Source organism: Homo sapiens, chromosome X (genome assembly GCF_000001405.40).
Source record: "Homo sapiens chromosome X, GRCh38.p14 Primary Assembly".
NCBI lineage: Eukaryota > Metazoa > Chordata > Mammalia > Primates > Hominidae > Homo > Homo sapiens.
The window spans coordinates 84,316,630-84,344,183 of NC_000023.11; the positions used below are offsets into that span (position 1 = coordinate 84,316,630).

The 27,554-nt window shown below is 33.8% G+C and overlaps 1 protein-coding gene across 12 annotated transcripts in view; it reads right to left on the bottom strand.

Moving 5' to 3' along the window:
- Positions 1,249-27,554, bottom strand: part of HDX (highly divergent homeobox) — a 184,576-nt gene continuing 158,270 nt past the window's right edge. For 7 of the 12 annotated variants that reach the window (XM_017029275.2, NM_144657.5, NM_001177478.2 and 4 more), the window contains 4 exons: positions 20,172-20,251; positions 17,130-17,213; positions 9,549-9,671; positions 1,249-5,385 (listed from right to left, as the gene is read on the bottom strand). In XM_017029275.2, the coding sequence (XP_016884764.1) occupies positions 5,260-5,385; positions 9,549-9,671; positions 17,130-17,213; positions 20,172-20,251 (413 nt within the window). In that variant the 3' untranslated portion in view covers positions 1,249-5,259. The remainder of the gene's footprint in view (positions 5,386-9,548; positions 9,672-17,129; positions 17,214-20,171; positions 20,252-27,554) is intronic. The other 5 variants (XR_001755653.2, XR_001755652.2, XR_938392.2 and 2 more) reach the window with 2 other exon arrangements.

Here is a 27,554-nt window from a genome sequence, read left to right on the forward strand (position 1 = left end):
ACCTACTGTGTACCAAAAATAATTCAAAAAATAAAAAAATGCGAAAAATAAACTCAGATGAATAAAATGCTTAAAAACAAGCAAACAAAGAAAAACCAAAACAAAAACAAAAAATGCTTTCCCCCTCTGAGTCCAAATGTAATTGGGGGAGAAATATCTTGTGCCAAATTCACATGCGAAAATGATCTCAATACATTTTTAAGAGAAAAAGCAGGACACACATCTGCATATTCAGCACAATTCCAGTTTTGTAAATATATATTTGAGAACATAATATGTGGAAGAAATGACTGGAATGAAATATTCTAAAATGTAATAATGATTCTTACTGGGTGATGGGATTACAAGTGGTTCTGTTTTTTAATATATTTTCTACATTTTCTAAAATCTCTGCAATGAACATTTATTACTTTTATAAAGAAATATAAACAAACGTGAAACTTCTTTAGTTTCATTTGATGTGAAAAATATCACTCGATCTTATGGACATACTCATCCATTGACTTGTCTTTTAAATAGATTTGCAATGATACTCATTCACTTATCTAAAATAAAATGATTTCACCATCTTAAGTCAATAATTTTGCAGATCTGAGAAAGACTTCAGTCATTTGAGATGCACATTTGTATGTGATTCACTCCTTGCAATGTTCTTGAAAATTTACCAACTGGGAAGAAAAACTGCTGTTATGCTATTTAAAACATACCACTTGCCCTTTCTTATTCCTTCCCCACTAGTTAGGTAACATGAAGAGTTTTAATTGGTAAAAGGCTTTGACAAGGCATGGACATATTTCACACAAATTGAAAGCATGCTTAAGTAGTTTTGAAGAGAACCAGGAAAAGTTAGATGCAACATCGCCACATTTAAAACAAACAAACAAAAAAACCTCTTGTAAAAATAACACTTTGTTATACTGTGCAATTTACTTGCTGATGTTACCATTTAAATATAATATCCTAGACATATTTGTTGTCTATTACAAAATATTCACTTTATTCCATTGGTACTGGAGTTAAGTAAAGTCAGTTAAGGGCGGTACACATGTCAGCTTGGAAATCAACTCAGTTTTCACATGAGCACTCCATTTTCTCCCTTCTTTGACACCCAACACCTTATTATTCTCTTCATTTTTCATTTTATCAGAACCGTATTTTGGGGAGAAAATAATCCACTTTAAAAGAGGAAAGTGCTTACAACACAAAGGCTTATAAAAATAAATATTAAAATAAAGAAATAGATGTCTATTAGTTGGAAATCATTTATTGCCTCTATAAAAGTTTAAATAAAAACTCTACAAAAATTCACATTACAGTCTGATGTGGTTTTAAGGTGACAGTATATTTCAGAGGTAGTACTAGTAAAATGGGATGCAGGATTGCTAAAATGAATTACTTAACAAGTTAATGCAAAATAAAATTTCAGTGTGGAGCAATATACACTCAGTATATATTTTAATGAAACAATTTTAATTATATTTGCTTGAAAATATCACTTTACTCTTTTTTCCCCCTAGCAAATCTGTTCTTAATCAAAGTTTGTTTTCAGCAATGGTGTGTTGACTGTAGGTTCACAAGTTAGTAGCCTCCTTGATTATAGCATTACAGAGCATAGCTTGGTGAAGAGCATGATACAGTGCTGTCTGCCAAGGAAAATACCAACTTCAAAGAGAAATCTACCCATTTACCTAACATTTAGATACAGTGGTACTGATAACTCCCTTAAAAAGCTAACCTATCACATGTTTGCATGTTTAAGATCTGAATGAAAATCTAATATATTAAAAAAGTAGACAATATTTCTGGAATAACACAACTGTAATACGGAAGAAGGGCAGGAGTTAAAGTTTTCAGAATGTCTTTTAAAAAGGATCACAAAATAGTTGTCTGAGATGAAGAAACTATCCCTTGGAAATGGGCTGAATCCGATTCCCACCACCCCCACCAAAAAAGGCAACAAAGTCCATTTTAGAGCCCAAAATTATTTTAAATTAACCACTTATGTTTTCTCCTACAAACTTACAGACTGCTGAATATGAAAGTGCCTCACAATAGATGTTGCTGTCTTTGGAGAAATGGCTTCTTTGACATCTTTTGAGGTCTTGGTCGAATAAAGAGTACAGGGTATAATTGGGTCTCAGCCTTTTCTTCTCCAACAATAACAAACATTTCTATCACATGCTTGCAATGGCAATACAAAAATCCTGCTGTTGATAACTGACCTTAGGACAAAACATCCCCAGTTTCCATGAAGAGGCCAATTTTCTTTTAAGGTTTTCTTTGCATGTGCTAATTTTCCTATTCTCCAGAGCAATTGCAATTCTCATTTTCTTGTGAATAAGTTTAGCTTGGCTGAAAAGAAGAAAATACCTTCCTTTTTTTTTCATATGTACACATTTTGGAAGGTAAGTGCTCTTACATACACATTTCTGGCTTAAAAACTGCTTGGCTGTTCTAAGCTTAAAGCAGACATAGAAATGTAGTTGAAAGAAAAAAAGAAGTTTTTTCTTGTTGTTGTTTTTTGTTTTTTGTTTTTTTCCACATTGGCTTCTGTCTCCCTGAGAGAGCCTTCAGATAGTAAGGTCTGTTTTAATAATCTCAAAGCCCTAAAGAAAGAAACACTAGTTAGTTAATTTTTATCCCCAGCCATGAAGATGTCCACAAGAGTAATTATAAGCTGATAATTTTTCCTGCTCTAACATATCTCAAAACCAACTCCTATCTACATATGTAAAAAATATACTTTCTTCATAACAACTTTTCAAAGCTTGACCTTGACATCTTTTTCAAAGTCTACCATGAATAATTTCAATCTGGCAATTATGATTCTTTTTCTATAGATAGAGGTATTTCCTTCAGTTCCTGCTACAGAATAGCCACATTTCATTTTAGAAGTGTTTTAATTCCAATGATGGTGAAGAAAAATATTCTGGTGCTGAAACACAAATTTCAAGACAAAAGGAGTTCTAAATGTATTGTTATGATTTATATAGTTTCTATTTTGATGAAATGTTAAACAGAGACAAAAAGATCATCTATGCTTTCTCTCAAAATTGTGGACTAGGAATCCTTCTAAGAATCACACCTAGCAGAACCTTAAATCTATTAAAAATTCTACTTAAATATGGTTTATTAATATCATAGAAGATGTTAAAAAGAAATAATTATTTGTGATGTTTACAGCTTGCTGAGAAATCCAATGTCCAGCACAGTGTCTTCTCTATAGCAGGAGCTCAACAAGTATTTTTCGATTTAGTGACTAATGGCTGATGCGTGACAAATAAAATCTATAGTGTTAAAAGCTGTAGGAGAGAATATACCTATAGTTAATTTGCAATGAGAACCAAATAAGAAGGGGCTTAAATTGAAGCAGAAGTAATTATATTTGAAAGATAAACTCAATGACTATGAAGCAGACCCTAGGAGAGACTTGAAGGCCTGGAATTTGTTCATGCTACTTAATAAGTGGTTTCTAACTTCGTTGTATATGGGGGCGACTCTTCATCTCATGGAGGAGTTGGTGTGACTGGTACATTTAATCGTAATATCTGAGGCTCTGTTACTCTCTGCTGCTTTCTCTGAATGGAATTTGACTTGTCAGCAAGAAAAACTAACTATTGTTTGCAAAACTCCATATGGCTCAAGGAAGCATATCTGAACACTGAAATATTCCTACTAACAAAGGGACCATATCAGTAGTATGGCAGCAATATAAACAAATAAGTGACAAAATGAAAGACTATCAGTGGGAGCTTACCTATTTGTGTGTGTGGGAGGATGGGACACTTCAAGGGTAAAGACATTTATGACTGCCTTTCTGTGTTCATAAGTTAGTACTAGTAAATTTCAAGATCAAATTTGGCTCTAATTACAAATTTTTAAAAATATCTGAATACCTACTAGGTACCAACAAAAATTAAAAACAAATTGGAAACAGAAACTTGATGGCTGAAACAGCCATCCAGCTACTTCATTAATCTTTTAGGTATAGATAGTAATTTAACCATGCAACACAATTGCACACTGCCAAGTCACAAATATATGACACTGTGGGCTTAGGGAGAAACTGACATTTTTTCTTCTATGGGTCTTGGTAATACCATCTGGTACTCCAGAAAGGAAGAACTACAAAGAACAGTCTACAGTGTGTTGCCATCTGGTACCTACTAATAATAGAAAACTGGGTAGCTTGCCCATTTTAGGTGTGTACTCATAGAATAGTATTCATGGAATTCAGAAGACTGTGATTTACAACCAAAGTAGTATAACTCTTTTTGAATACTATCCTTGGCTGATGGCTCTGTACAGGCCTCATATGGAAATGAGGTAAATTTTGTGGCAAAGCTGAATGACTAAATTTTTAAAAAATCTCAGCAGCTTACCTTGACTTCCTGTTTCATAACATGTAAGAACTAAAAAAGAATTATAAAGATGGTGATAAATTTAAAATATTTGTGTAACACTTCATCTAACCCAGGTATACAAATTTACTACTGGAATGTCAATCGTATCAATACTTGTCATTTGTAGTAATGAAGAATCCCCATCAAGACTAATTTTGACAACATTTTGTTTCTGTACACTTCGTAATTTATTTGACGTTATGTTGGTTAAATTACCTTTCCATTGTGCTTCCCCACCCCCACACAAATATTTGGGTTAGATAATAGAAGAACACCAGCAATTTACAATTACATACCTGTAATCATTTAATTTTCAGTCATTAGTTTAAGTCAAATTTTCATAGGGGTTAAAAACTAAATCAGAGAACTCATTAAATAATGAGTTAAATAATTTTTTAAAGTTTTGTTTTAAATGTTCAGTCCACTTTCCTGAGAAAAAGTGTAAGTGGATGATAGGAAAAGGAGAGAAGAAGAAAGAAGATGTAATGGCTACAAAAACAAGACTAATCAAGCTGTAGCAACTTGATAAGCAATGCTGAAATGTCTTTAGTTATTTTGTCTCTGGTTAGAAATTAGACATAATGAATTTCAGGGTTAAACTGCTGAAACTTAAATATAATTTTTTTCCAGAGTTCCATCAGTTAAAAAAATACTCTCTCAAACAATGCTTTTAAATTTCACCTACATTTTTGTTGCACTGTAGCCATTATATCTTGTACATTCTTCACAGAATACGTCCGTTTCAACAATGTGTTTTCCCAACTAAAGAATACCAGGGCAACAGAATGCAGTTATCTTGAAATGCACACCTGTTACGAAGCCAAAAGACTGTATCATATATTCCCTCCAACTGAAATCACAAACTTTCTGAGACATTTTTCTCTGACAAAGAAGATACACTGAATGAGGTATCATCAGGCTCCAGTGAGGCATGATTGAAATCCATTTCCTCTAATTCAGGAGGTAAATCTGACAGCAGTGCCTGAATAAAAAAAATAATATTTTTGGATTAGTATGTGGATAGATTGTTTTCCAATTTATATTAATAGTTGTAGTCCTCCCATGGTGAATTATCCTTATGGATTTAAAGAATAATTTATATTTCAGGATCTTAGACAATGCCTTACCTAAAAGAAAAATTCTTCATACATTATTCAGAAGGTAACAAAATTCTAGATGTTGAAAGTGTGAATTCTGTAGAGTAGAACCTGTACAAAGGGGATATTAGGAGGGAAATGAGCAACTCTTCTGAACCAAGTGCTTTGAAGTGTTTGAGGTTAGTGATTTTCATACTAGTTTTGAGTGTGCATTGATCACTGTTTAAGGGATTTAAAATTGCGTTCTTTGTTAAAATATTCATGCCAGTTATGCTGTCCTTTGTAGAAGACTGCATTTAACAAAAGACTATTTTGTTCTTCAGTGGGAGAAAGAACTTAGTAGTTAGGAAAAACCTCCAGCTATTTTACTTTAGACTAAATTTTAACAACTTGAAAAGACCAAGTAATTTTATTTTTTCTTTCCTAAGGCTATGTTCATACCTACAGATGGCCAAGCACCCACCAGGGCACAGCTGAATCAGTGGATCTATCTGTAGTAATGATGTATCTGGAGGGCTACTCATTTCTCTGCTTGAGTAATAAGGATAATCCAATAATGATGAAATAAGCTTTGTCATGGTCTAATTGTTTTATCTGAAGTTGTAGAACATGCACCCATTCTAAAGAAATAAATGATTAATCAAGTTTTACGCAGCTGACAATGCTAATGTTCACTTGACCATGAGGAACTTTGAACTTAATGATTGATTTGCTGCTTCCAATACTAAGAATAATGTAGCATATCTGGCAATTTTTAGACAGTATTACTTGTAATGTGGGCTTTGGGTGCAGTGGTAAATAAAGACCAAGGGAACAGGAAGAAATGAAAGCTTGTCACTAGCCAATTAAGGAACAGAAAGGGCATGTTGGAGAATATATGAAATCCACTGTTGAAATAAGACAGTATGCACTCATTCTCTTTATTAAAATAAGTGGCAGCTGCAAATCCTATACTTCCTGCCTTGTAGCACAGGGGCAAGATCAAAACATTCTCATTTTTATCAGGCTATGTAAGGGAAGACTAACCCCTATCTGGCAGACTAGCTGTTATTATTTATTTTATAAAATTGAATTTCTCATTAATTTATTGCTGGAACTGAGAGTATATACACAGTAAACTAACTTAAAGGTAATGCCTGCTTTCTAAGTGGCTAGATTGCAGTAATAGGACACGGAGCCATTTTCTCCTAGAAAAGTGTTTTACCACTAACCCAGTCCCAGTGCAATGGGGTCTTTTCTGACATTGGCTGATCAGTCTATATGACATACATCACTGGATTTAACTCGCTTTGCAATTCTGAAGATGCCATATTAAAGAGGAGAAAGTGTTCAAATTAACATTGACTGAACATGTTCTTAGAGTCAGAAAGTCAAGAGAATAAGATTTCATGATATTCTAATTTCTAATTTCTAGTGGGGAGATTACAAATCAAAGAAGCATTATTATTTATTTCTTTGTTACTGCATTATAAGTAGTTGAGTAAAATGAGTGCAGTAAAAAATATAAAAATTTTAATATCTGAGGCAGCATAGGGCACAACTAATACATGTGGTCCACTTTAAAATTCTTCTTTCAATATCTTACTAGATTTGCAACTGAAAAAAATCTTTGGATTATAACAATTGTTGGAACTGCCTTTTTCACAGATACTAACGTGAATACGATTAACTTTCTTTATTACAAATGTTTCATAAATGACAACTATCCTCAGGGTCTGACCTACGGTCATTTTTCCCAAGAGATTAAAGCATTTTCCATATGCTCAGATCTATAACACTTATTCTAGACCCTATGGTATGAATATCAAGTTCTGTAGTATTAATCATTCTTATCCCACTTGCAAAGTGGAGAAATTGAAGTTCAAGAAACGCAATTGATCTGGCTAGGAACACGCAGTGAATTATCAGGGGAAGCAAGACCATAGCAAATGACTAAGTATAATGCTGAAAATATTACTTTGATTTTAAAGTGGCTATTGATTTAAATAACAACAACAACAAAATCTTTGGGTAATCTAGTGTTTCAGTCAGAGAGTATCACATTTTGTAAACCCTGGACTACTTCAATGGTCCAAAATATTCTGTGGACCACACATCTGACTCAACTTACACAAATCAAGATTAATGGAAGAAAACTGAAGATCTTTTTTAAAATTAAAAACCAGTGACATGTGGTTGTCTTTTATTAGGTAGAATAAAAATTAACTCCTTCCAGAAATAAACCTATAAATATTTCATGATGTAAAGATCAGTAGTTTAAGCGATTACCTAGATAACTTTTTTGGACTACTATTCGTGTCTTCTATATTTTGTGACCATATTCTAAGATTCATTATACTCATTCTTAATTATACAAATTAGTAGTTTCTATTTGGTGCTGATTATACTGGCTATGAAGTTCACTACAATTTTTGAATCATGTTCTCTTTCAACCAACTTTTGTCCATATACTAATTTATTAGTCTTTAATCAGAGGGAAAGAAGAGGAAGAGAAAAATAAAAATGCACATTAATTACATTTGTTATTGGTCTTGGGAAAAGAACCAAACCAGGAATGAAGTTAGAATTAGAAAATAAAATGGGGTCTGTGTACTATTCCTAGATGTCAAGAGGCACAGAAACTTGCTAGTTACTTGGCCATATAACTCTCAATTCACAACCATGCTATGACTTTCAAAACAAGAGCCACACTTTAAGTTATTCCTCTGCTTGTACCTAATTTTGTTTATTCACAGTTATTTAAAACTTACAGTACTCTTGGGACCATGTTCAAAACTACCTCCCCTATTCATTTAAAATCTGCATTTTAGGTTTCTAAAAAATAAACACATTTTCAGTATGTCGTGGAATATACATAACTCACATAATAAACCAATATGCTTAAATTAAGCTGGCAAAGGTAAATGAAAGCTACTGTCTTGAGATGTCTGTGTGTGTGACAGGGTGTATGGGGAGTAAAATTCGTGAAACTTGACACATAATATACATGCTGGTTTGAGCCTCATGAGTAAATTCATTAGTTTCAATTTTGTGGTTCAGCACTTCAGTAAAATATATAAAGGCTATTTCTTGGGAAAAAAAGGGAGGCTTATGGAATGTTATGGCTTTAATCTTTTTCCTTAGGGATGTCTGAGATGGGCTATATACATGCTGTCTTTCTTTGATATAAGAGATGAATATTTGTACTCCTGACATTCCTTGATGAATAAAAACCTCTGAGACTGTTTCCTAAACAAGGGTTACATATGTCTCACACTACTCCTATAGAACTGTGACAAGGAATCAGCATAATGTCATATAGCTCAAATGAAAATTTGGTATAATTTAATATTACATGGTACATTTATTATAATTCTATAGTTTTTAGCAGGCTTAACAAATTATTATATAGATCTCACATGAATGTATGAGACACAAAATATAATTTGGGAGGAACTGGTAAACAAAAACCCACATCAACATGCAAAAGACAATACATTTCATCTTTGGAGTCAAAAATTCAAATACTCAAATACTTAAATTGGGAAAAGTAAGTGATGCACTGTGGAAACAAAGAGTTTCACAAAGTAATTTCATATTTTCTTAGTGATGAGCAACACATTACAGAATAGAAGATGTCCAAACATCTGTGAACTGTAGTGGAGGTTGGCAGGAAATTAAGATCCAGAAGAGATGCAAAGAAATGCTTTAACTCTTTCATTCACAAAAGGTCCCAAAATATGTGCCTCTCTAGTTAGGGTAGCCTAGTTTCTATCAACATTTTCAGAAATTTCTTTGAAATTAATTTTAAAGTTATTTTCCTCACCTAAAGACTAACCTGACATTAAAAGCATGTTAATCAATTATTTTGATTTTCCACTGAAGGAGCACACAAAATCTGAGCATCTATTCTCAAGAAAACTGTTTGCAAAGGTCATGAAATAACAAATATTTCCTCCATGCCAAGCAGAAATGAAGTATTAAAATGAAAACATATGAAGAACCCAAGTGTGACATACCATTTTTTGACTTGATACATTGCAGCTTACTAGTCTTTCCTGGGACCTACCTGCTGTTGTTCCTTATCATCAGCTTTCATTGCTAATATCAAGCTTCTAACAAAAGTCTGAAGTTTAAAGTATTTTTGCTTTTGAATCTCGAGCTCATTTTCAATGAATTTGACTTCTTCATTCTGAAAGAGAAAATACCAAATGATACAATTACCTTATGTAAACCCAGGACTATACATGTTTGATGCACAATAAAATTCTAAAAAACCATCAAATTAGAAGGACAATAAAGAAAACAAAATGTTAACATAAAGGAATACAAAGCATGGAAGAAAATGATCCTGTTAGTCACAGGATGCCTTTTAAGCAAATCACTAATAGAAAACAATTTATAAAGTCAAAAACCAATCCAATAAGTTCCAGTAAGAGAAAAACCAAAAAACAGCTCCCTTCTTGGAAAGACCCCTCCTATATCAAGCCTAATTGGCATTCAGATTAAGATTAAGAATAAAGGTTGGGTGCGTGGCTCACACCTGTAACCCCAGCACTTTGGGAGGCCGAGGCGGGTGGATCACCTTAGGTCAGAAGTTTGAGACCAGCCTGGCCAACATGGTGAAACCCCGTCTCTACTAAAAATACAAAAATTAGTAGGGCATGGTGGTGTGTGCCTGTAGTCCAAGCTACTTGGGAGGCTGAGGCAGAAGAATCACTTGAACCTTGGAGGTGGGCAGAGGTTGCAGTGAGCAGAGATCGCACTGCTGCACTGCAGCCTGGGCAACAAGAGTGAGACTGTCTCAAAAAAAAAAAAAAAAGATTAGGAATAGATAGAGTCCAATTAACCCAAAGAGCAATAGCAGACACAGTAATGTTGAATTTGCCATTCAGAAAGCCAACTACTCAGAACTTAAATGGTGAATTTGCACCAAGAAGAGCCTGAAATTACTAAGATTGTCTTAAGTTTTTTGCTGAGCCTCCACAGATTAAGTAGGAGTCTGTTATTCCAAGAAATCTGAAAATGTACCACTGTGTACTATTGGTGTAAGAATCAGTTACTCTTTACTATTTTTGCTAGTCGTATAGGTAAAACAACTGGACTAATATTTGGGAGTATTCTAGTGCCAGGTCTACTGATAACTGTAAACTTAGGTGGGAGACTCTCTTTACTCATCAGTAAAATGGTTATTATACTGGTAATCCCTGACAGTTCTAGCTTTGAGGGCTATAACACTCAAATAAGATAATGGCCATGAAAGTGCTCTGAATAGATTTACTATGAAAGCCACAGTAATCAAGAAAGGATGGTATTGCATAAGGATAGACATATCAACCAATGGAAAAAAATAGAGAGACCAGAAATAAATCCCCACAAAAATGGTCGATTGATTTTCAACAAAGGTGCTGAGGTCACCCAATAGATAAAAAAAGTATTGTCTTTCAATAAACAGTGGTTAAACAAATGTAAATCCACATGCAAAAAAAAAGTTATCGGCCCTTACCTCACATCATAGACAAAGTGTAACAAGACATGGATCATAGACCTAAAACTAAAATGCATAATAAAACTGAAACTTTTAGAGGAAAACAGAGGAGAAAATCTTCGTTACCTTGGGTTAGGCAAAAAGTTTCTTAAATAGAACACAAAAATTATGGAACTTTAAAAAAAAGAAAACTTTTATTTTAATTTATTTAGTTAAATCAATTTTATTTATTTATTTTTTATTTAGAGACAGGGACTTGCTCTGTTGCCCATACTGGAGTGCAGTGGTACAATCATAGCTCACTGCCACCTTGAACTACTGTGCTCAAGGGATCCTCTCACCTCAGTAGCTAGACTACAGGTATGCACCACCATCCATGGCTAATTATTTTTTAACTTTTTTGTAGAAATGGGGTCTCCTTATTTTGCCCAGGCTAGTCTTGAACTCCTGGTCTCAAGCGATCCTCCCACATCAGTCTCCCAAAGTGTTGGTATTACGGGGATGCATTATTGTGCCTAGCCTCAAGAAAGACCTATTTTATAAAATGAGGTCAGGAGTTTTAAACCAGCCTGGGCAACATAGCAAAACCCTGTCTCTACCAAAAAAATATATATATATAGCCTGACATGGTATGGTGTGGTGGCATGCAGCTATAGTCCCAGCTATTCAGGAGGCTGAAGCAAGAGGACTGCTTGAGCCCAAGAGTTTGAGGTTGTGGTGAGCCATGATCATACCACTGCACTTCAGCTTGGGTGACAGTGAGACCCTATGTCAACAAACAAAACAAAATGATACAAAAAACAACTTTGCTCTTTAAAATATATTGTAAAGAAAATAAAAATAAAACCACATATTGGGAGAAAATATTTTCAAACCATACATCTGACAAAGGACTTGGATTCAGAATACATGAAGAACTGTTACAACTCAATTATGAGATGAGCAACAAAGTAAAAAGCAAAATATTTGAACACACTCTTCATCAAATAAGGTATCTGAATGACCAATAAGCACGTCAAAATATGCTTAATATCATTTGTTCTTAAAGAAATACAGATTAAAACCCCAAAGAGATACTACTACTGACATATTACAATAGTTAAAGAGATTGACAGTACCAAGTGCTGACAAGAATGTGGAGCAATTAGAAGTCTCATACATGTTGACAAAACGTGTCAACCTCTATAAAATCCTTGAAGAGATTGATTCTGAGCCAAATATGAGTGACCAATGGCCTGTAACACAACCCTCAGGAGATCTTGAGAAATGTGCCCAAGGTGGTTGGGCCACCACTTGATTTTATACATTTTAGAAAGACACAAGGCATAAATCTATATTTGTAAATTGTACATTGGTTTGGTTCAGAAAGGGGGGACAACTGGAAGCAGAGGCTTCCAGGTCAAACACAGATTCAAAGATTTTCTCATTGTAAATTGCATGAAAGAGTTATCAACAGAAAGGAATGTCTGAGTTATGATTAGGGGTTGTGGAGACCAAGGTTTTATCTTGCAGATGAAGGCTCCAGGTAGTAGGCTTCAGAGAGAATAGATTGTAAGTGTTTCTTATCAGACTTAAAGAATCTGTTTTATCAGTGATTCCAAACGGGAGGAAGATATAATGAGGCATGGCCAGCTCGCCCTTCCCATCATGGCCTGAACTAATTTTTCAGGTTAACTTTGAAATGCCTTTGGCCAAGAGGGGGGGTTCATTCAGATGGTTGAGGGTCTTACAATTTTATTTTTGGTTTATTAATACATACATTATTGGTGAAAGTGTAAAATGGTACAGCTACTTTGGAAAATATTTTGGCAGTTTCTTATGAAATTCAACATAATCTTTCTTAACGTAAGACTCAGCAATCCTACTTGAGGTATTTACCCAAGATAAATGAAAACACATGTCATTAAAAGACTTATACATCAATATTCATAGCAGGTTTATTTATAATAGTCCCAAACCAGAAGGCGTTCAAGACTTCATTAGCAGGTGAATAAACAAATTATGGTGGTGTTTACACAACTATGTCCACCTGTCAAAACTCATTTAACTGTATACTTAAGAAGATGAATTTTATTGTATGAAAATTATGCATCAAGTAACCTGATTAAAAATAAAGTCTATCCCAAAGGGGGGAAATAAAACCTCTTCCTTCTGTCTAACTGACACTTTGTATCCTCTGACCATCATTCCCTTATTTCCCAGCCTCCCACAAGCCCTTGGTAACCACCATTCTACTCTCTGCTTGTTTGAATTTGATTGTTTTTGATTGCGCACATTAAGTGAGAACGTGATGGGAGTCTTTTTGTTAATGGCTTATTTCATTTAGCATAATGTTCTCCAATTCTCTCCATGTTTTTTCAAACAACAAAGTATTTTTATATGCTGAATTGTATGAATGGTGAATATGGTAAATAATAATAATATATTGTACATTTCAAAATCACTATGAGAAAATTTGAAATGTTTTCACCACAAAATATGGTATCTGTGGTGGTGGATATGTTATGTCGTTTGATTTAATTAATCCACTTGGTATTCATAAATCATAACAGCATTTTGTACCCTATAAATATACACAACTCTTACTTGTCAGTTTACCATTAAAAAGTAAAAATTATTCTAAAAAAATAATCAGCCAGTTACCATTTCAAAAAACATGGAAGTAGCCTATGACTATTCTTTGCATCTGGCAAACTGGTCTCAAAATCATAGCAGGACTTTTAAGAGCATTTGTTCAAAAAACCAAATTAAAGTATATTAAAATTAATTGGTTACATGGATATTTTTGTTGTTTCAATTGAGAGGATGGTGTAGTATTTATCATATTCAATCTATTAACATGTTTACTATATCATTTATTTTATCAGCTTAGTTAAAAACTTTTTTTACCTGAACATGCTCCTGTCATAATATATTTTACTAAATTTAGGCCTTTGCTTTATTAGTATTCATTGTTGGAGCAGTAGTATTAGTAAAGTGCTGACCAGGAAGTCGTTTCTAATACAAGAGATATACGTTATCATTATAGTAGTATCTGGTTTGAATGCACAGTCCTTCTTAGCTGCATTCAAGTGTATTAGGAAACATTGATTCACATTTGCAAAAGTCATGAAGCATCTTTTGGTATGCAGACTTCTAATTCTTCATGCAAATATTTCTCCTCCTCAGTATTTATGCAATGTTTGAAAAATATAAACAGCTTTAAGATAATTTAATATTGCAGACATTTTCTTCACAGAGCTGCTTTGCAAGCCTATTAAATACTTCCTAGATAACAGGCAGTAATTTATGTATACTTTCAAGATTTTCTAAGTAAATCAATGCTTGTGAGAGGAACTAGTATCATAACATCAGTTACTGAATATCATAAAACAAGATCTATCTTATTTTTATTGTTGTTAAAACCCTACCTACATTTTGAGTAAACTTTGTTAGTTCTTCGTCAAGATGATAGTAAGGAGAACTCCAGTTTCCACATTGACCAGAGCTTTGATCTCTGAGCAAGCTATTAATGACTGCCAAGTCTGAGGTGCTATTTTATGATGCAGTTACTCTTGCCTCAGGTACTGAGCCCATCAAAGTGTCTCATAAACATTTTGTGTTATTTAGAATTCCTAAGAACATGGATTTCTAGTGATGTATCTCAGTCAAAAACTCCACTATGACCAAAATGAGTATGGATGGTTGCATAGTAATAATTATCAAATGCACCATTGGAAACATTCTTTCAGTTTGCCACATGAAATCTCAAGAATGAGAGACTGTATAATTCAGTGTAGGGGAAAAATACAATGATCCAGCTCCTGATTTTATATAAATGAGTACTTGCATAATAGTTTTAAAATTATTTCCAAAGATAAATTAAGTCATTTGTTCACTCACTCAGCAACTACTGTAACTATAGTTACAGTTGAACAATTATATGACAGGCTCTCAACCAGGTAACACATAGGTGAATAAAATAAGTCTCTTCTCACAGGAGGTTTAGGATGAATATATCATCATGTGTTGTATAACAACGTTTCAGTCAACAATGTGCCACATATAATGACAGTCATCCCATAAAATTATAATGGAGCTGAAAAATTTCTATCACCTAGTGATGTTGTAGCCATCATAACATCATAGTACAATGCATTAACTTTTCTATGGATAGATACACAATACTTATTTGTGTTCCAATTGCCTACAGTATTCAATACAGTGACATGCTGTACAGGTTTGTAGCCTAGAAGCAATAGGCTATACCATATACCCTAGGTATGTAGTAGGCTATATACATCTAGGTTTGTGTAAGTACACTCTATGATGTTTTGCACAATGACAAAATTGCCTAACAATGCATTTCTCAGAATTTATCCCCATCATTAAGTGATGCATAATGGTACTTAAGATATCAACAATGTGGTTTTCATCCCCAAACAAGAAACACTAGTATGTGTATATAACTAGGGTACAACATTTTCTCTGAAGACAGATAAATTACTAAACTGGTAGAGCTTTTTAAAACCAACATCCTGAAATCAGTAACAAGAACTGCTATATGAGGTTTTGCTTACCTTTCCCTTAGAAGTAACAAAGTTCATGTGAGGTGAGTTGAAAAATTTTAAAATCATGATTACAAAAAGATATATTTTCTATATAAGTGCTGAATTTTGAGGATTAAAAAAAGAACTTTATGGAACTGCCAAGCCTGAGACACTTACATAAAACATATTTAAAAAATCCCTAATGGGGTAGTGAATGACCCCTTTGTTTCCACAGAATTTATTACAATGGAAAACACTGGATTAATACAATGCTCTTGAGAGTTCGGTGAAAATATTAACAAACATTTCTGGACTAGACACTCTGCCCTGCCCTCCTCTGGTTTTTAGCGCCAAACCTTTTCAAGGAGACTGCCACCCAAGAGGGGAGAGGTCTTGGAAAGAATCCTCTGAGTCCTGGGCCCAACCCTCTTTGACATATTTGAGAGTGCTAAGAGGAGCACTCTTAACAGCTGTGCAATCTAGTCCTTTCGTCTGTAGTTTCCACAACCTGTGCCAAGCTGTGGCATGCAGAGACATTGAAATCCTGAACTGGGCATTTAGAAATATTATATGACCATGTAGGAGAGATTATCGTAATCTCTTGTATTTCAGAACCAACAAACTTATAATTCTGTTAGTTGAAAATACAGTCAAAATATAGGATTTCATCATGTTCTTTGACCATCTAGGAAATACGTTTCAAAAGATATTTTCCTTCTGTGTTTACAATATTCAATATTTTAAAGCTTGACATGTTATGAATATTTGGAAAACAGAATCTGTTGGATGGCATACATTTCAATTATGGTAAAACTGAAAAGATTTTTGAGGAAATGACAGCTGTTATATTTTCTGATTAAATGTTATTTTCTGTTAACATTTTAACATTACTAATCTCTGCTTTGAACACTAATGACATTCCATAACAAGAACTTTTGTGTATGAAAAGGACTGTGTGGCCAAAATTTCAGAAGTTCCCAAAGTTACCTAGTAAGATAGGATAATGATTATCAAAGGGACAGCTTTTATAAATCTATGCAGAAAACATATTGACATACAGACTGATATCTTATATACATATTTAATAAAATAATATGTATAGCACCCTGTCAAAGGCAGCTTTTCAATTTAGTAATAAATGACATTAAGAAAAGGTCATCTGTATTCATATTCATTCTGTATTTGCTTTGGAAATTGTTTGCAAACTTCTCCTATAACAGCTGTATTATCATATTTTTAAAAATTGTCCACAGAAGAAGTAAAAATTTAGGATAAAATTAGCAAAGTCCACTGGAAAAAGAAATCCCTTTTACTATCATTTAAAAATGAACATTGGCTTTATAAAAGCTTTGTCATACATTTCATGTTGGCCATGACCAAGTACTGCCTCCATCCTGCCATATACCATCAATACTTACTCCACTCAGCAAACTCTTTGCCTAAGATCATAACCCCTAAACCCGACAGCAATAATTAAAATAACCAGCACTCTGACTGATATTCAAGTAGCCAGAAAGAATTAATGCAGAGCCTTAGAATGCTTAACTTATTAAATAGGAGTAATATAGGTATTGTAAAATTCTGCCTCATTTAATACCTTCTCTTAATAAATTCATAATTTAAAATTACCTACCTTATAATCCAAGAAAGAGTTTACTTGTTCTACTTCAGAATTACTTATCATGTCACTTTCTTCATCATCAATAATTTCTATTTTCTGTAACACAAGTAGAGAAGTTACAAATATATATCACATCATTCTTACTACACTCAGCAATGCATAGAAAATATGCATTCAATGTTTAGGTTATCTAGTCTAGGTTATCTGGAATAAATTCTGATAACTGACTGGCTCCTCAGTGTTACATATAGTGTGTGTCTGAGCCACCTCCCTCTACCTTTAACTGATGACTGCTTGTTAAATAAAAAAATTAATACTATTTAAAATAGAAAATGTCTTTCTACAATATCCCTAACAAAGCAGGCGAACTGCTTAAACAGCACCCTCCAGGGACAGGAAATTTACTTCCTGTAATGGTGGTCTATTTTAATGCGAGTAAACATACAATTGATAGGAATAGCTTTCTTTTTTAAGTTTCCACATGCCTCTTTGTGACTTCTAATGTAAAATGTCAGCATATGACATATTCCAAAATCAAACACAATTTTTAAAAATTCCAATATTTACTGCACACTGCACAACTTTAGCTTGACAACTAATTAAAAGCAGGCATCTATGATGTAATGATAAAAATAGCATGATGATTTGTTTCCTTCACTGAAGAGTAACAGCCAGGATGAGGAGGTGGAGAGAGAGGAAAAGGGAGAAAGAGAAAGGAGAGAGACAGATTAAATTATCTTTAGCTTTTAAAAAAAGGCATAGCATAGCTTGTACAATATCTTGTCCACAGTAGGTACTAACACTAATTAAATATCTGTAGAAAGAATGAACAAAACAGTTCAGCGTTGATGAAAAAAAAATGACCAATTAGCTCCAACCATGAGGGGGCAAGTTCTCTAATCATGTGATTTTTTTAAAAAAAAAGCAAAAAAAAAAAAAAAGGTATAAGTAAAATCAGCTCTAATTTTTCTTTCACATGTAAAAAACACAGTCAAGAAAAAACTCCTTTAAATATTTAAACCCTGCCAACCCAAAGAAAATTTTTAAAGAGGAAAAACTAAGCTATATTCAGTCACTAGACGGTCTTTTAAGAACAAGCACATAAATAGCAACATGTTGTAGGCAGAATTTGAAATCAGGCTTCCTACTCTGTATGTGTGTGTGTGTGTGTGTGTATACACACACGTATATACATATATGAACACACATACATACATATTTACATATGGTGATTAAAAGTCACAAATTAACTTGGAATGATTATATTTAATATATTGCGTATGAGGATATGATACTATTACAGGGTTTGTGACCTGCAGGCTTTTGAGTCAGGAAAACAGCTGCAGTGAAATTACTTTCTACTGCTGCCTGGAGATGAATCCAATATTTTGTTTTCTATTCTAATCTCTATAAAATTGGGGCTTCATCATGCCAGCTCTTCCAAGACCTCAGATTTGATATTTTTTGATGTTTTTCAGATTCTCTACATATTTGGATTGGCTCTGGCAAAAAGGAGCTAGGCAATTCAGGGAGGGATGCACCAAAGGCCACCGTAGAGATGTGTGCATTTAAATAGGTCTTATATGTCTGTTTGATTTGTTATCCATGAATAATTGGGAGCACTCAAAAGTTACAGGCAGAGGAGATTAGCCTTTGAAAGTGTGGCATTTTGTTTCTAAAAAATCAATTGCTTTTTGAAAAATTAGGTGCCTAAATGACTGTGAGTCATCCCATGCCATGGCTTCATTCATTATCTCCAAATATCTGCTGCAAAGGAGATTCAACGCAGAGAAATTCAGGCTACAAATGAGCATGTCTTTAAAGGGAAAGATGTTTCAATTTGTAAATTGTACATAACTTGCACACTAAAACTCAAATCTGTAGCAGATTATTAGTTGGTGGAATTTAAGATGAGCACAATTCATAACCATCGAAAACAATTACTAGTAGCTATCTAACAAAAACACGACTTTGCCTCACAATCAAAGCTGTTTTCCTGTATGCTTGTTAAACTTAGTGTTAGAAGGGTCAAGCATTGACTTCAACCAGGACTCAAATCAGTAAAATACAATCCTAAACTATATTCTGCTTGTAGAAAACACTGTTATATATTACTGTTATTTAACAAAAAAATAGCAAAACTATTTTATGCGCTCAACTTTTATTAAAGACATGTGGCAGGACTACAGTGTGAAATAAGTAATGCTTCTAATGAAAGTCAAGGGAAACCCTAAAGTCACAGCCCTTTTGTAACAACAACAAAAAAATCAATTAAGAGGCTATTTTTTAGTGGCTGCAATCAAACACAGAACGTTGATTCAAAAGCAAAAACAAAAGGACAATGACATTCCCCTTTATATCTGACTCTTAATACCATCTTGATTATAGGGTTACTTGATAGGGCAGAATATAAACAGATGTTGCTAAAACAGCTGCATAGGGAGCATCACTATATGTTTACATTTTCACAAAACCCAGTTTACTCCACACACAACCTGCTTCTATTTGCTATTCAAACATTTAATACTGTCTTTCTTTCTATATTGTGATTTTTAAGATGAGTAACCAGAGTACAATTTAACTATTAATAGGAGGAAAAAAGTTCCAAACACACCATCAATAGGTATGTTCTGAATAGAGAACTCAGAGTCGGAAATTCTTGCATACATGTGCCACAACTAACAAAGTTTTCCTTCACGATCTCATGCTAAACTCTGTTTTAATTCTGCCATCCATCAAATAGGTAGAAATCTGCTCTTTGCTAACTGTGTTGAAGAAAAATAGCTTGTTATATGTAAAATATCATATACATACCAAGTATTGGGTTTTTATATTTGCACATCTCCTCAATCAAAAAATTAGTGATACAAATGACAACATTTTAAATTTTACTTACTAAGCCATCAAAGATATGTAATTTCATTGGAAAGAGGTCTGTTTTGGTTTGTGAAGTGGAGCAAGACTTTATTCTGAAAATGAGAATATTTTCACCAACTGGATACTTGGGCTTGAAATCAACCATGTAATGAGAAAAGAATTTCAAACTGTACATACCACATTATCTGTGGTTACTGCATGGTGGTCCTCTTCCTTATGAGCCCTTGCATCATTCGGAACAACTTCATTGGGCTCTTCTACAGAAAAAAATGCCATAATTTCATTTTCATTTCGCAAAACTTTCTTGAGAATACTATTTTCAAGGTCATTTAAATAATTTCTCTATTATAAAAAGACACAAATGGCAAATTCATTTCACACGTTTGATGAGCAATTCTACTTCAAACAATGCATTCAAAGGAAATAAGTAGGGATGGGGGCAAATACAAGGATGGTCACCGTTGTCCTATTTGTAACTGAAAAAACGGACAAAAACTGTATCCTTAACAATGGAGGAATAGAGAAATTTAGAATCTATCTCTATAATAAATATTATGAAGCCGCTAAAATTGAAATAGAAGAACAGTAGTTATAAGGAAATATTCATGGTTTACTGGCAAGTGAAAAAATGAAGGTAACAAAATCTATTGTGTGGATACATATAACATTAATTTTATTTTAAAATATATAAACTTCACTATAAAATTTAAATAAATTTATTATGCAAATATGTAAATTTTCATGGAGACACACTAGGACTGTTTCCACAAAGACATTGTCATTAGTATTTCTAGATGGAATTATGAGTGATTTTTAATTTTTCTGTTTTCTTTTTGCTTATTTGTGTTTAAATATTTTTCTACAATGAACATTTGTTTCTCATTCAAATAAGAAAAAAGTCATAAAATAATTTTCAAATCTATGATATAAAACCATAAATCCAGAGTATTTCCAGTTTTGTGAATGTATGTGTGTACAAACACACACAGACACACTCCTGTATATATGCTAAGAGAAAATGGTGGCAAAAATATCCTCTTATCCTTATTTTCAGAAGGGTTATCACTGAGGAATAGGATTGTTTCTATTTTTATTGTATTTCCCAGTACTTTCTAAAATGAACATGTATCCCTTTTCTGATCAAAATTCAATATTCTAAAAACGAGAAAATAAGTGAAAGAAATAAATTAATTCAGAGAAACCAGACTACTAAAAAACTCTCCAGGCTGAGCTAGGGGAACTGGTCGGTTCAAGGCACAGGGTGTCTGCATGTATAATCCCTTCTGTTTTAGATTACCCTCCACCAGCCCCTTAAAAAAACAAGGTAGCAATGTTCCTCTCTCTCTCTTTATCTCTTCTTTTGGCACAGCCATATCATGGAGATTATTTGAATAAATACTAGTAGAATTTCGCGATCTCATGGTAACTGACATTTTACTTCACCTTAGGAAGCAGAACAAAAATATTTATCAGCCCTCACGAATTTTTCGAAGTCTATTCCTTTTCATGGAAAGAAATATAGGGGTGCCTCGTATGAGCATGGGGGAATTATTAAGAGGAAAATGTGGTCGATCCAGGAACTCACATATGACCATATAGAGAATTCAAGTTTAAGATATTCAGGAAAATCTTACCAGAATTTTGATGCAAAGTCCACTATAAACACAATTTAAATGTTTTTGTCTCCTCTGCTATATTTTTTAAAAATTAAATTTTGGGGGGTATATTTGAGATATACAACATAATGTTATACACACACACACATATATAAATTGTTTCTATAATGAAACAAATTAACATATCCATTATCTCACATAGTTATCCATCCCCACCCACGAGCAGCTATAATATACTCCTTTAGCAAAAATCCTGAATAGAGTACACTTATTAATAGTAATCCTCATGTTGCATATTAGATCTTTTGACTTGTTCATACTACATATTTGCTACTTTTTATCATTTGACCTGCATTTCCCTATTTCCTCTCCCTCCTACTCTGATCCTGGTAACCTCTTTTTTTTCTCTATCTGTTTATATTTGACTGTTTTTCTCCCCTGCCATTTGCCACAACATGGATAGACCCTGATATGGTTTATGTCTGTGTCCCCTCCCAAAACTCATGTCAAATTGCAATCCCCAATGTTGCAGTTGGAGCCTGGTGGGAGGTGATTGGATCATGGGGGTAGATTTCCCTTTTGATGCTGTTCTTGTAAGAGTGAGTGAGTTCTCAAGAGATCTGGTGTTGAAAGTGTGTAGCACCCCATCCCTCTTCTTCCTGTTCCAGCCATGTAAGACCTGCCTGCTTCCCTTTCACCTTCTGCCATTATTGTAAATTCCTGAGGCCTCCCTGAGAAGAAGCCAGCAACATGCTTCCTTTACAGCCTGCAGAACTGTGAGCCAATTAAATCTCTTTTCTTTATAAATTACCCAGTCTCAGGTATTTCCTTATAGCAGTGCTGGAACAAACTGAAGCAGACCTGCAGGACATTATGCTGAGTGAAATAACTGAACACAGAAAGGAAAATATTGCATGATCTCACTTATATGTGGAATCTTAAAAACAGGTCAATTTAATTTTTTTAAAGAACGGTTCATAGACAGAGGAGCCTTTACCTACTCATTATTTAGACATTTCAAATCACAGACATTTCAATTCCTATGTAATCAGCAACAAAATGTAATGAAGGAAGGGAAAAAGTGTCATCAGCCAGTATTAGCACTAGTGGCCTCAGAAGAGAGTTTATATTGCTTATCAACAAGGTAACATTCTTTAAAGGTTTGCCTTATATTCCTATTCTCCTTTTCTCATAACTTTGTACACAGTTCTCCTTTACTGGCAACATATTTTGTACATGGTTTGATTATTTTGGAAGATTAAAATTAAAACTATATTGAGGATTTCTAAAATAAAAGGATGTGAAGTGATACAGTTGAATAAGGAATGTTTTCTTTCGCTTACAGAAGCTTCAATATTTGTGAATGTTTGAAATCTAAACACTATCTACGTGCCTGGTAATTCCCCAAGAAAAGCAGCTCTGCTAATTGGATAATAAAGTGGAATAATTACCCAGTAAAAACTCTAGAGGGCGCCCTATGTGGTGGCTGTATGTACTCCCACTAAGTAACTGTATAATTATCTTTCACGTGCATACCCATATAATAGATACAGCTGAAAAAAGAGGCTGTGATGTAAAATTTAATGACATAGATGTTAATTGTTCTCATCTTTAAAAATTTTGGTTCTCAGGATAGTAAAAATCTTTAAAGTTGTTCAAACATAAATTTATTTTTCACTGTATATTAATTGTAGATACAGAAATTAAGGAGCTCAGCCATCTAGCTATTACTTTTGCTACAGTTTGCAGTTGTGGGAGGGGTGAGCTCAGGTAGGTTTATTTGTTTTTGTTTTTGTTTTTTATCTTTCCTAACCACACTTCTTTTCTCTTCATCACCACACAGGGAAAGGGAAAGGAAATGGGAAAGGGAAGGTGGGAGGTGGAAGGTGGAAGTTAGAGGTAAGTCAGAAGTTCTGTATTAGGGAAGTATCTACCCTCTCAGAAACAAATGAGTGGAACTGAAACTGCTAAAAGACCAGCAGCACTTTTTTTGACTCTTACTAAAGCTGCCTTTTACTGAATTTTAAAAAAATCTTAATTTTTGCTTATACAGATTTTTCTAGAATATTTTAATGTGATTTTCAATTGATTTTTAATATGTAATATGTAACCCTAACTTAAAGATATCTTTCCCTTCTTAGATAATGCTACTGAATCAGTAGCCCTATTATAAGCAGTCTGAATTTCAGTTGTTAGGTTTTTGAAATACTATGGGCAGCTAATTTTAGAATAATCTAAAGATTATTTTTTCTTTATATTTCTTAGATGTAATTAATGGAAATTTCAAAGTAGAAATATATTTAAATACATTTTCATAAACTGGAAGGAAAATGGTTAGCATATTTTAAAGGCATGATATTAATTTAGGCCAGATGATATGATTCACTTAATCAAACGAATCGTATTAGTATTCTCCACTAGCAAAATGAGGAAGAGAATAGGACATAACTAGTAGGAAACTGTACCAAAAAGGGCTGTTTTCAGTATTTGAAAATGATTTTATGCTTTTCTGTTGCAATTTCTGTGAGAATGAAAAGGTTACCATGCAGCTGTGGAAAGATAAGCCACCGATAAAAAATTCTAGGCAATCACACTTCTGATCAAGTGTTTTTTGATTCATGCATTAAATTCTCTTTCTTCTTTTTCTCATTGTGTCTTGATTACTATGCCAGCTATTTAAAGAACACACCATGACAAAGAATGTCAGTGTAGGAGCAGTGGTCCATTAAGAGTGGACCATTAAGTGGTCTTTAAAATTAACTTTCACTTTTTTTCCTTCAACTACTTATTTTCTAAAATTATCTTTTAGGTGGAGAAGTGGGAGTTGGGAAACGAAACTTCACTTAGGGTCTTCTGTACTTTCTCTGAATATTTTCTCTCAGCTCACCCACTCAACCACAGAAACACACAAATCCCTACTTCCCCACTCTCCTTCAGCTAGTCACCACTCAGCAGGCTCTAAAACACCAGTCATGAGTCACTGGGAATATCCAAGTATCTCCAGGCATATGCAATTTAGTAAACACTAACCAATGACAGAAATGGTTTAAAGGACCAACTATATTAGAAATAAAGGGCTTGGAAATGGTGCAATATTTCTTTTTTTCTTGATAATTTTAAAATCTGCCTCACTATTTCCCTGTACACTTAATTCTCTGTTATCATCTTCAATATGAATAACAAATGTTAAGAAAGAGAGAGAGAGAGAAACTTGAATATTCACATAGATAACATTTCAAATACCTGATCTTAACATGCATGGCCCTCTTAATACTAGTAGCTTTGCTTTCCCTTTCATTACTCAACCTACTGCAATCTGCTTGCCTCTCCTCTCCCCATGCAGTTAATTGCTTTTTTAAAGAATTTCTAAAACACCAAATTCAATGGCTTTCTCATCCCTTTTTCTACTTAACTTCTATGAGACCACGAGACTACTGAAATAATGACGCCTCTTCCTTCTGAAATCTCCTTATTTGTTTTTTTTTTTTTCTTAATTTTAGAGACAGAAGTCACTACGTTGCTGAGGCTGGAGTACAGTGGCTATTCACAGGTGCAATCAGAACACACTGAAGCTTCAAACTCCCAACTTCAAGGGATCCTTTTCGCCTCAGCTTTCCAAGTAGCTGAGACTACAGGCATGCCACTGCACCCGACTCTTTCCTTGATTTTAGGAAAAGCATACTGTCCTGCTTCTTCTGTTTCTGAATGTTCTTTCAAGGGCTCCCTTTTCTCCTCCAATGCCCAAATCTGGATATTTATCAATACACAGTCTTTGTCCATTGTCCTTTCTTGTTTTTCATTTTCTCACTTAACTAAATCTTCAATCTTCATGGCTAGATATTTTTTGCCTCAATGTGGGTGACTTCCATATTTCTTTTTATGTCTTAAGCACTCATCTGAGTTTCAGACTCATATCATCCAAAGGCCTGCTTGGACAGCTCTACATGGATGTCCAACCACTATCTAAAATTCAATACGTGCAAAGCTGAATTCATCTTCCTACAGTATTCTATAAATTTAATACAATGCCAAGAAAAATCTTGAATGGATGTTGGGGAAGGAGATTTGGAAAAGGTATGCTTAAACAGTTCAAATTGTATGACTAAACAATTCAAGAATCAATATACTACAAAGCAAAGAAGAATGAGGGCCCTACCAGCTATTAAGACATTTTATAAAGCCAAAGTTGTAAACTGTCAAATCAGTGTAACAATAAGCAGTCTCAGATTTGACCCACATGTGTATATGTGTACGTCTGCATGTGTGTATATGTGTGTGCATGTGTGTGTGTGTGTGTGTGAGAGAGAGAGAGAGTGTGTGTGTGTATTTAATAAAAAGCTACATTCCAACTCACTGGTAAAAGATGAGTTATTCAACAAATGGTGTAGGGACAATTAGTTAACCATTTGGAAAAATAAAATTGGATGTATTCATACATCTTAAAGCAAAATTAATTCTAGGTGAAATAAATATCAAGTTGTACAAATTAAACTATAAGGATACTAGAGGCAAATGTGGGGGTATATTTACATAATTGTAGTATAAGGAAAGACTGTAATCATGACCCAAGGTCAGAAACCATAAAGGAAAGTACGGGTAGATTTGAAAACTTAAAAATTACAAAAGAAAATCTGACATCAGAAAACATCATAAGCAAAATTAAAAGGCAAACAATACACTGGAAAATATATTGTAAGTATTCTAAACAGAGTTCAATGAAAACAAAAGCAAAATGAGAAAAGGCATGACCCTCTTTGTTTCTTAATCACAGATACAAAAAGCCTATATATTGCACGATTCAATTTATAGAAAATGCCCAGAAAAGACAAATTTATATCGTCATAAAGCAGATCAGTGGCTTCCTGAAGTTGAGAGTGGGAAGAGGGAGTGACTGCAAATGGGCTCAAGGGACTTATTGGAGAGATGAAACTGATATAAATTCAGATTTCAGTGATGGTGATGGTTGTACAACTGCATAAAATTTACTAAAAATCATTGAATTCTATATTTAAAATGAATGATTTTATTTTGAGACAGGGTGTCACTCTGTCACCTAGGTTGGAGTACAGTGACACAATTACTTGAGCTCACTGCAGCCTCAAACTCCAGGGCTCAAGTGATCCTCTCACCTTAGACTCCTGAGTAGATGGGACTGTAGCTAACTAAAACAGCAACAACAACAACAAATCAACAACAACAAAACAAACAAGCAAACAAAAAACACTTTTTGTAGAGATGAGGTCTCATTATGTTGCCCTGGCTGATTTCGAACTCCTGAGTTCAAGCAATCATTTCACAACAGTCTCCCAAAGTGCTGAGATTAGAGGCATTAGTCACCTCACCTGGCCTTACAATGGATGAATTTTATGACGTGTAAATTAAATCTCAATAAAAGTGTTAATAAAAATATGTCAAAAGAGAATCCTATCTATGCTTGAGGACAAATGAAACATACTTCTCATGGACAGATAGTATCATTACATAATATTATTTTAATTATTTTTTAGAGAAAAATTAAGAGATATCATAAAGATAATCCAGACTAATTCTCTTTAGCAGATGAGGAAACTAAAGCCCAATTAAATACTTTGCATGAAAGTCTCATGAGAAGTCGCATGAAAAGCTAGGAGTTGCATCCACATTTCCTGAGTACTAGCCTGGTATTTGTCGCATTATGCCATACTCTTTCATTACAGTGTGTTTATACTGCTCTGACCTAAATTGACTAGAATTCCAATAAAATAAAAATCATTTACTTAATTATAATGCATGAATTGTAATAATCAACATTTATAAATGTAGGAGATTATTATTGTTGTTGATGAATTTTCCTTGTGATGATGATGCAGGAGACTGTTTAGGTGGAGGCATTAAAAATAAATCTATTGTTTCAAATACTTGGCCAAATGTTTTGAAGACTCTAGACTTGAAATGCAGTAAACTG